General features: G+C 49.3%; 2 long non-coding RNA genes across 3 annotated transcripts in view; one reads left to right on the top strand and one right to left on the bottom strand.

Annotated features, from left to right (window-relative positions):
• Positions 1–1,021: 1,021 nt before the first annotated feature.
• LOC105369366 (uncharacterized) overlaps positions 1,022–11,149 on the bottom strand; it is an 11,198-nt gene continuing 1,070 nt past the window's right edge. The window contains exons 2-4 of one of the 2 annotated variants that reach the window (XR_950255.3): positions 9,862–9,906; positions 3,326–3,454; positions 1,022–1,295 (exon numbers count right to left, since the gene is read on the bottom strand). This is a non-coding gene — a long non-coding RNA (uncharacterized LOC105369366). The remainder of the gene's footprint in view (positions 1,296–3,325; positions 3,455–9,861; positions 9,907–11,149) is intronic. The other variant, XR_950256.3, reaches the window with a different exon arrangement.
• The window catches only part of LOC338694 (uncharacterized), a 24,335-nt gene continuing 20,643 nt past the window's right edge, over positions 7,458–11,149 (top strand). Inside the window, exons 1-2 of the long non-coding RNA NR_104161.1 lie at positions 7,458–7,821; positions 10,581–10,691. This is a non-coding gene — a long non-coding RNA (uncharacterized LOC338694). The remainder of the gene's footprint in view (positions 7,822–10,580; positions 10,692–11,149) is intronic.

Raw genomic sequence — 11,149 nt, 5'->3', positions numbered from 1 at the left:
TCCTTTCCTCTCTTACCTCCTTTTTCTCTGTTCCTTCCATCCCTCCTCCCTTCCCTTCCCCTCTCTCCTCCCTTCCCTGCTCTTTCTTCTTTCTTCCTTCTGTTCTCCCTTTGTTCCCTCCTTCCTCTTTGCCTCCCTCCCCGCCCTCCTTCTTTCTTTCCCTCCAACAGATAGATATTTGGGTGCCTTTTTTGTACCATATCTGTGCTATACAACAAGATTTTAACAATAAGACTCCATTTCAGTCCACAGGGAGCTCACAGACCAGAGGAAAACTCAAGCAGGTGATGATAGTACAAGATGTGTGACAGGGGCGGGTGCACAGGGCTGTGGGGGCCCCAAGGAGGTCACCTAACCCAGCCTGGGGCCAGGGAAGGCTTCCAGAAGAAATAATATGTCGCTAATCCCTGGCAAGGGATTCTTTATGGGACTGGTATTGAATATGCACTTTAGGATTGGTTAAAACACATGCTGGTCACAGCAGGTAGCCACACCACGACCAGTATGGTGAGCATTAAAGAGACTGACCAGCCAGCACAGTGGCTCACACCTGTAATCCCAGCACTGTGGGAGGCCAAAATGGGGGTATTGCCTGAGGTCAGGAGTTCGAGATCAGCCTGGCCATCATGGCAAAACCCCATCTCCACTAAAAATACAAAAATTAGCTGAGTGTGGTGGCATGCACCTGTAGTCCCAGCTACTTGGGAGGCTGAGGCATGAGAATCTCTTGAGCCTGGGAGATGGAGGTTGCAGTGAGCTGAGATCACACCACTGCATTCCAGCCTGGGCAACAGAGCGAGACTCCATCTCAAAATAAATAAATAAATAAATAACACTGACCATGTCTGGAGCCACTGGGACTCACGCACGCTTGCAGGCATGTATGTAGGTGCAGCCATTTTGGAAATCTGTAAGACAACTTCTGATAAAGATAAGCTGCTACTTACCTTAGGACCCAGCAGATCTACCCTAAGCCCATAGCACAAAACTTAGCATACGTGTCCATCAAAAGACTTGTACATGAATGTTCATAGCAGCTTTATTCAAAATCATCAAAACCCAAAAACAACCAAGATGTCTGTCCACAGTAGACCTTGCATGTCCACCCAGTGGAAGCCCATTCACCATGAAAAGGAATGGACGTGGATATACACAGCCATGGATGGACCTGATGGGCGCCATGCTAAGAGACAAAGCCAGACATGAAAAGAGGAACATGCTGTATGTTTCTCTCATACAAAATTCAAAAACAGGCCAAACTCATCTATGGTGATGGAAATCAGGACAGTGGGTACCTGGGGGAGAGAGAAGTTAGTGAAATTAGTCCCTAAGAGAGACCTCTGATATGCTAGAAAATGCTGTAACTTGGTCTCTAATTTGATTGTTACATGAATATATACGTTGAGATATATACACTTTAGCATTTATGTCTTTTACCATATGTAAATTACACTTCCGGTTTAAAATTCTATTAAGTGAAAAAAAAAGAGGCCACTATAGCCAGGGAGAGCTCTGGGCCACAAACCAGGGTGCTTTAAAGTGGAGTCAGCAGGAATGGATGCAGGACATCGGGAGGGTTGGGGGCAAGGACTGGGGTGCAGACAGAGGCTTCAGAGAATTCACAGTACAGGTCAGTGAGGGAGCCCCAGCAGAGAGGCCTTTCTTTTTTCTCTTTAAGAAAAAAGATATAACCTAGAAGCATTCCTAAGTGCCATGGCCTAGTGACCATCTGACATTGAATGCACCCAGAACTTGGAATTCCGGGCCTTGGAACTCATTGCAGTTGCCCTTATAAATCCCACAACTCAAGGGAACCTCAAAAAATATCCCATATCATCCTACAACGAAGGGTATGGTGGCCAAGCTCCATTCTTAAACTTCCAGTGAGCTCTTTGGTCTCCAAACCTGTCATAACCTGACAGCCAAGGGTTACCAGACTTCTGTGAACAGCCTCCAACATGAAAAGCAGAGACAAAAACATCAACAGAAACACATAACTGGGTGGAAACAGACTTTTCAGAAAAAAAAAAAAAAAAAACACTTTTTTTTTGTTTCTTTTTTTTTTTAGACAGAGTTACTCTGTCACCCAGGCTAGAGTACAGTGGCGCGATCTTGGCTCACTGCAACCTCCGCCTCCTGGGTTCAAGCGATTCTCCTGCCTCAGCCTCTCAAGTAGCTGGGATTACAGGCACCCGCCACCACAACCGGCTAATTTTTGTATTTTTAGTAAAGACGGGGTTTCACCATATTGATCAGGCTGGTCTTGAACTCCTGACCTTGTGATCCACCCGCCTCAGCCTCCCAAAGTGCTGGGATTACAGGCGTGAGCCACTGCACCCGGCCAAAAAAAAAAAAGAAGAGAGGGAAAGGGGATTAGAAAGAGATAGAGAAGAAAAGAGAGAGGGGGCAAGAGGGAGGAAGGAAAAGAGGAGAGGATGGATGGCAAGAATGAGGAGGAGAAATAAGGACAATGGTTGTGGTGGCTCACGCCTGTAATCCCAACACTTTGGGAGGCCGAGGTGGGTGGATCACTTGATGTCAGAAGTTCCAGACCAGCCTGGCCAACATGACAAAACCCCATCTCCACTTAAAAATATAAAAATTAACCAGATATGAGGTGGCGCACACCTGTAATCCCAGCTATTTGGGAGGCTGAGGCATGAGAATCACTTGAACCCGGGAGGTGGAGGTTGCAGTGAGCTGAGATTGCACCACTGCACCCCAGCCCAGGTAACAGGGTGAGACTCTGTCTCAAAAAAATAAAAAAAGAGAAAATCTAGAAAATAAGTACAGAAGATCCAACATCCAAATAACAGGAATAACAGGAGCTATAGATGTATACGAGAGAGGAAATTGCAGGGAAGAAATGATCAATGAAATAATTCAGGGTAATTCCCTGGCACTAAAAAAAAGGCCCGCAAAATACCCAGCATAGGAGGTGAACATAGACCTACCCCATGGACACATCATTGTGGAACTTTAGTACACTTGGGACAAAGAGAAGATTCTACAAACTTCCAGAGAGAAAAATCACATGACATACCCAGGGCTGGTTATCAAAACAGCTTCAGAATTCTCAGCAGCCCCACTGGAAGCAAGAAAACAATGGAGCAATGCTTTTGAGCTTCTGAAGGGAAATTATTTCCTAACCCAACCTTCTATGCCAGCCACATTATTAAGCAAGTGTGAAGGTGGAATACAGATCCCTTCAGCTGGCGAGGTCTCTAACAAATTTGCCTACGAGCCACACTTTCTCAGAAAGCTACTGAAGGATGTGCTACACCCAACTGAGAAGGTAAACCAAGAAAGAGAAGACTCGACATACAGGAAGCAGCAGGTGAAGGCAGTCCCCCAGAAGATCACTGATGGCCGTGACGCACTCCACATAGAACGCTGCCGTTACAGATGACAGCCATGTGACAAGATTTCTGCTGCCACTGTGCCCCCTTTTGACCTGAGGACAGAGTATGGGGTGAGGATCTTATCTTCGCTTGGCTTATGTTGACCAGGGGCTGGCAAAGTTCCTGCTCTTTCTCCTGCTGGGCTGCCTCCACCAGTTGAGAACTTTGATCTATTCTTGAGAGCAGGAATTGGCCACGGTGAGCTTAGAAGCAGATGATGCAAAGCAACCTGCTCTCTTTAGCCATCCTTCTGCCATGATCCCAGAGGTCAGCCTCATCAGATAGCCCAGCTATCGTGAGACCTCAGTTTCCCAGGGCTCACTCATGCCTTTGCCCATTGACAGTCTGACCTTCAATTCTCTCAGAGAGGGGCAGAGCCTGGCTTGCTGCCCTGAGTTTGCCAGAACTCAGCTGGCCTTTGTGTTTTATATTTTTTTGGGAGCTTTCAACTCTTGGTGACAACATTGCCATTTCCTTACACAATTTGTTTTGTGCTTCCTTCAATTTTTTAGAACTAAACAATGTGTTGTAAGCTTGTAGATGCTGGCCAGATGATCACCAAACCTGTTCCTCCCCCATTCCTGGGCACTCAGCTGGACTGCATTTCCCAGCCTCCCTTGCAGGTAGGTACAGGTACATGTCTGTGTTCCATCCAGTAGAATGTGATGGAAGTGATGTTTACTACCTCCAGGCCTGCCGAAAAAAGCTTCCTACACAATCCAGTCTGCTCCTTCTCTCTGTTTGCTCCTCTGCCGATCCAATGCAGTGCACCAAATGGAGGACTCCATGGCTGTAGGGGATGGCAGAGCCATTCAGAAAAAAAGGCCTGGGTCCCTGCATGGCTGCATGGAGCAGAGCCCAACCCAACCTGCCCTGCACTGTCATGAACAAGAGATACACATGTATTGAATTAGGGTGCTACAATTAGTGGGTTGCTTGTTAAAACAGTTAATATACCCTGATTAATAAAGGATATTTACATAGGTGGTAAAACTCTAAAGGAAAATATAGGCCATTCGTTTTAGGAGCCAGTTTCCTGATACAGAGGAGATAGGTACTTGGGAAATGTCTTTGCTGAACAAATGAATGCACAAACACAATTGCTCTTTGACTGTGGCTTCAAAGTCATGTCCGCACAAGCGTGTGGCCCGGAGGGGAACGGGAAAAATGTAGACAGTTGATTTGTCAGGGTACTGGGAATGTGGGTGAAATTTTTCCTGTTATTCTTAGGATAAGGTTATTTTGCAATAAATACGTAGAGAATGTGGAGTCAGGCTCTCCCGCATTCTGTGTGGCATGCGTAAAAACATCTAGGCACACAGCGCTCCAAACAGATGTTTCTTTGCAAGCAAGAGCTCATTTCTCCTGAAAGCAGTCAGGATCCAGCAACCAGGCATCCCCCTCCTCCAGCAGCCCAGCTCTCCAAACCCACCCTCCCCAGTCCCACCCTACACAAGGTCCTCAGCCCTGCCCCCAGATGGAAGCCCCCCACCTTCCACCACCACAACACATTCTGCAGCCTCAAGGCTGAGTTCAGTGTCACCAGGGCAGAATTCCCCACCCATCCTATGTCCCCACAGGTCTTTGACCCTCTGTAGTGGGCATCTGCCTATTCAGCCTGGCAGTGCCCAGAAGACAGCTTGCCTAGGGGTGAAGGGATGAGGGCCCCCCAGTCAGATCAACCAGGTCTGCACCCCAGATGCCCATTGACCAGCTCAAGGGTGGGAGCAAGTTGCTTTGCCTCTCTGAAGCCCAGGGATGATGACAGCCCCTTCCTGAAGGATGTCTGTGAAGAGCAGATGAAGGGATGCATGGAATGTTCTTAGAAAGGCCCCCAGGCCCATATGGATCGCTCAATAAGCCTTGGCCCCAGGACTGTCCTCAGAAGTAGAGAATGCATCTGTGTCTGGCTCTTACAATGACCTGTTAACCCCTCAAGAGTGATGCCCACATTCTCCTCCCTGGTAACTGGCCTGGAGCCCAGCGCTCAATGAGCTGCACATGGAACAGAACCGAGAGCTCAACTAGCTGCAGAGAAGCTGAGTTAAGCCTGTGTCTGTTGATGGCCACTTGGCCACTGGATTCAAGGCAGGATGTGCTGGCACCTTGGGACTGCCCTCACCATCAGTCCTGCCTTGCCCAGAGGGCTGGGCCAGGAGAAGCCGGCCAGTGCAGGGGCCAGCCAGAAAGCATGTCCTGGGGAATGGCTGAAGAAACTAAGGATATGTACCCAAAGAAGAGAAGACCTGGGAGAAGATTCTATCTACCCAGAAATGGTGGTTGAGCACCTACTGTGTTCCAGGTACTGTTCTCAAATGAGCAAGACAGAGAGCAAGACAGACAGATGGCCTGCCCTTGTGGGCTTGCATTCTAGACAATAAATAAAAACAGAACCAGACAATCCAATTAATAAAAAATAGAACCAGACAATATAATAAATAAAAAATAGAACTAGATAATCCAATTAAAAATAGAACCAGACAATCCAATAAATAGATACATAAAGCAACATCAGCTGGTACTAAGTTCTATAATGAAAAATAAAGGCAGGCTAGCAGAAGAATAGAGAGTGCTGAGCCAGGCCAGGTTGGCAGGGTTGAGGGGGTGGTTTGGTGTCAAGGAAGGCATTTCCCAGCAGATGACACTTGGGCAGACACTTGAAGGAAAAGAGTAAGCCATCATCTGGGTATGTAAGTGGTTTGCTAACCCTGCCCTGCCTGTGCACATGCCAAAGGGAACTACATTTCCCAGAGTCCTTTGCCCTCTGGCTTCTGGGTACGTTCAGCAAATGGGAGGCTCCAGGGTAAGAGTGGAGGCTGGGAGGAAGCAGAATCTCAGCTACTTTCTCCCCTCTCTCCCTGCTCCCTGTGGCAGCCCCAGCAGGTTGGTGTGGGACACAATACCACCATGATGCAAATGCTCTAAGGTGAAGCAAGGTTCCATTTCTCCTCAACTGACTTCTCTCTCCTTCCTGACCTTGGGACTCCTTTTTCCTCAACTCCATCTTCCTTTGCTCCATTGGCTCATAAGTGAGAAGGAGCTGATTGGCTGACTGGGGGAGCCAAAGATTCCCAACAGGCATTTGCCTAAGCGTCTGCCCTTAAAATCACTCAAGCATCTGATGTGTTCATCTTCTTCTTTTCCAAACCTGACATCTCATTAAAAAAAAACAAAAAAAACACAACAAAATGATGCCACCACGTGACTGTATGGTCAACAGCCTAGTTGAAGAATCTCAGACCTCCCTGAGATGCACGCCAGCCCCAGAGATGGGCAGTAGACTCATCTCTCCTCCAATCAGAACCATGGTGCACCCAGTGCATTTGGGGGACCCATTTGGACAGTCCAGGGCTGTGTGTGCTGTAGAGATGGGGGCAACACTCCCCATCCCTGTCGTGGCTAATTTTATGTGTCAACATGTGATATGGTTCGGCTCTGTGTCCCCACCTTAATCTCACCTTCAATTGTGATAATCCCCATATGTCATGGGAGGGACCTGGTGGGAGGTAATTGAATCATGGGGGCAGGCTTTTCCCATGTTGGTCTCATGATAGTGAATAAGTCTCACAAGATCTGATGGTTTTACAAAGGGGAATGCCCCTGCACATGCTCCCTCTTGCCTGCCGCCATGCAAGATGTGACTTTGCTCCTCCTTTGCCTTCTGCCATGATAATGAGGCCTCTCCAGCCACGTGCAACTGTAAGTCCATCAAACCTCTTTTTCTTTATACATTACCCAGTCTTGGGTACTGTCTTTATTAGCAGCATGAACATAGACTAATGCAACCTGGATGGGACACAGGGTGCCCAGATATTTGGTCAAGCATGATTCCAGGTGTTTCTGCGAGGGTGTTTTGGATGAGATGAACATTTAAACTGAAGGATGTTCAGTAAAGCAATGTGCCCTCCCTAATGTGGGTGGGCCTTACCCAATCAGTGGAAGGCCTGATTAGAACCCAAATGCAAGAGAGAATTCTGCTGCAGAAGGCCTTCAGGCTCCATCTGTGAGGTCAGCTCCACCTGCTTCTACCACAGACAGCCTTCAGACTAGAACCATGGCATCGGTTCTCCTCACTCTCCAGCCTGTTGGCTCATCCTGTGGATTTTGGACTTGCCAGTTCCAACATGGTTCAAGCCAATTCCTTATCACAAATCTCTGTCTGTATATCAGCACATCCTGTGGGTTCAGCTTCTCTTGAGAACACTGACCAATCCAATCACCGTTACTCCCGATGACTTGTAGGTGAAGCCCCTTAAGGAAAATTTCTTTCACAAATGAGAGCTAGGGAAAGATTTACTCTTCCTGAGCAGCTAAAGTATTTTCTCCAATGGCCACGAGAACCTTAAACCTTTCCTTCTTTCCACGCTCCCATTGGCCGCCAGGAACTTGCAGCTTGGCTACAGCAATCATGAAGGACCTGGTGGGTAACGTATCTGTCCCTGGACTCGCCTTCCTAACGTAGCTGCTTTTTTCCCTCGGCCCTGACTTTCTACTTCTAGGTGAATATTACTCTTGTACTGCCTGTTTTTCCCACAAAGTGCAGGGAGTTCAAAATGCCAGGCCACATGTCCGAGGATTTTCCCTCCCCTTCCGCTGGCCCCTGGCCCATCTGCTGGCTGGGAAGGAGCTGGCTGCATCTCTCCTTTTGAACTCCAACTCTGGAGGTGGGAAGCTGGCTGGAGCCGCCCCCAGGGCAGAAAGAGGAGAAAGGGCATCAGAAAGACAGGTGCTCAAGACTGCAATCAGGCAGCTGTCCACACTGTCACAGTGAGCACCCGCCGGATACCAGGTGTATTAGTCAGGGTTCTCTAGAGAGACAGAACTGATGGAATATATCTACATGGGAGTGTATTAACTCACACAATCACAGGGTCCCACAATAGGCCGTCTGCAGGCTGAGGAGCAAGGAGAACCAATCTGAGTTCCCAAACTGAAGAACTTGGAGTTCGATGTTCGAGGGCAGGACGGATCCAGCACAGGAGAAAGATGTAGGCTAGGAGGCTAGGCCAGTCTCTCCTTTAACATTTTTCTGCCTGTTTATATTCTAGCCTCGCTGGCACAGCTGATTAGATTGTGCCCATCCAGTTTAAGGGTGGGTCTGCCTTTCCCAGCCCACTGACTCAAATGTTAATCTCCTTTGGCAACACCCTCACAGATACACCCAGGATCAATACTTTGTATCCTTCAATCCAATCAAGTTGACACTCGGTATTAACCATCACACTGGGGGCTGGGTGAGGGGGGACCTGGGGATGTGGGTGAAGACATCAGGAAGGACGTCTTGAGGAACCTGCTGCCGCCAATGTTAAGATCACTGCTGGGATGGCCTGGGCTGCTGGGGACAGCTCACTCAGGCCTGAGGCCTCAGGGCACCTGGGAGATGGCATCACCTGCCCCCTGCCCATGCCAGCTCCAGCCCACCTCAGCTTACCTCAAACTCCCATGAGCAGAAGGCTTTACAAAAGGTGGATTGTGAAACCCCCTCCCACCCATAAAGACACCCCATATAGATGCCTGATAGCAGCCAAGCCCAAGCCCTCGTCCTGCCCTGCTGTTGACTGTGAGAAGAGGGAGTGGGGGGAGAGGGTGGCCATTTTTCACTGCCTGATTCCCCTGCTAATTTCTGTCCTTCTGAGGACATGACAGGAACAGCCAAAGGTCACAGGGATTTGTGTTCCCGACAGGCAGCAAATGCTTTTGAGGAGGCGGAGGATGGGGTGCTGGGCCAGGCCATCATTGTGGGTCCTAGCCTCAGAAGGATTCCAGGGAAGGGAGGACAGGCATTTGGGGAAAAGAGCTGCCTTCTAGACAACACAAAGGCTGTCCGTGTGTCCTCGGTGTTTCCAGACTTTTGGAGGTGGGGCAGCCTGTGTCTGTCTTATGAGTGAGGAGGTTAGAGGTAGGTTTCCCAGAAGGGTGCATGGGTCAGGGACTAGATGAAGCTGTGTAACAAAAGAGGCTCAGAACAGATAATAGCTTCATTCTCCTCCATCTGCTGCCTGCATCACCTGCAATCCATGGACTCTCCCTTTGCCATCCTTAACAATGGAGACAATAACTCCTCCCTACAGGAAAAGCAGAATCTTAGCCACGCTTAGCCACCCCTAACAGGGCAGCACAGGGGCTCACTGATGCCCTTTCTCCTCTTTCTGCCCTGGGGACGGCTCCAGCCAGCTTCCCACCTCCGGAGTTCAAAGGAGAGATGCAGACACCAGTCACTGCCTTCCAGCAAGACCCATGTCCCATGCAATCCCAGCCGAGCTTGGCCAAGCCCTCTCTCACCCCACCACATTCCCGGCTCACAAAGCTCTGGGCTAGCACTCCACAACTCCGTAACTGGCACCCCAGTCTCTATGAGTACAGTGGTCCTCCCTTATCCACAGGGAACACATTCCAAGACCCCCAGGGGAAGCCAGAAGGCATGAATAGTATCATATACACTTTTTATGTACATACATACCTATATACATGTCTCCTGTACATGCATACCATGATAAAGTTTTATCTAAAAAATAGACACCAAATGAGATTAACAATAACCAATAATAAAATAGAACAATTGTAACAATATGTCAACATCACTACTTTTTTTGGGGGGGGGTGGTAAGGGGACGGAGTCTCCCTCTGTCACCCGGGCTGTAGTGCAGTGGTGTTATCTCAGCTCACTGCCACCTCCACCTCCTGGGTTCAAGCAATTCTCCTGCCTCAGCCTCCCAAGTAGCTGGGACTACAGGTGCCCACCGCCTCGCCCAGCTAATTTTTGTATTTTTAGTAGAGACGGGGTCTTGCTGTGTTGGCCAGGCTGGTCTCAAACTCCTGGCCTCAAGTGATCTGCCTGCCACGGCCTCCCAAAGTGCTGGGATTACAGGCGTGAGCCACCGCGCCCGACCTCAGCATCACTACTCTTGTGCTTTGGGGCCATTATTAAGTAAAAGAGGAGGAGGGTACCTTAAACACAAGCCCTGCAGTATGGAGCAAATGGATCCCACACTGAGAGGGCTCCCAAGTAACTTGCAGGCAGGTAGCATCAAGGCGTGGAGGTGCTGGACAAAGGGATCACTCACACTTCAAGGGGGATTGAGCAAGATGGAATGGGATTTCATCACACGACTCAGAATGGCATGCCACTTAAAACTGAGGAATTATTTATTTCTGAAATTTTCCATTTCATACTTTCAGACTGGGCTCAGCACATGTGCCCAGGCCACCCAGGTAGAGGTGGAGGGCATGGGATTCAAGCCCAGGCCATCGTTGGCTCTGAACATATACCTGAAACAACCTCCCTACCAGGTGAGTCTGTGCAGAATCCCTTCTCCCTCTCTACCCTCTCCCTCCCTCCCGGCCCCTCCAGCACCACACCCAAGACCCTCAGTGGGTGCCTGAAGCCCACTGTTGGGCTCTGTTTTCTCTAAGGACTTCCCCATACCCCCATCAAGCATCCGGGCCCCATTCTGTGCCCTGAGCACTTGGCATCTCCAGAACCCCTCTGCCCTGCTGCTCCAGGACCCAGAACTGCTCTCTCTCTCCCCATCTCCGACCCCACTTCTGGTAACAAGCATGTAATTCCCCCTCTTTTGCTCACACTCCACACACACACATCGCTGGATCCCTGGTGACTATCCCTGGGCTGTCCCCTGAACCAGGGGCTGGGGGCCTACATTTTGCCCCGGCAACTCTCTCAGATTCCCGCTTCCTCTCACATAACTGTTACAGTCCCAGCTACCCAAGCCTCTGCCCAGCTTCGTCCC

This window comes from Homo sapiens, chromosome 11 (assembly GCF_000001405.40).
Source record: "Homo sapiens chromosome 11, GRCh38.p14 Primary Assembly".
Lineage (NCBI taxonomy): Eukaryota > Metazoa > Chordata > Mammalia > Primates > Hominidae > Homo > Homo sapiens.
This window is presented reverse-complemented; position numbering and strand designations above follow the sequence as displayed.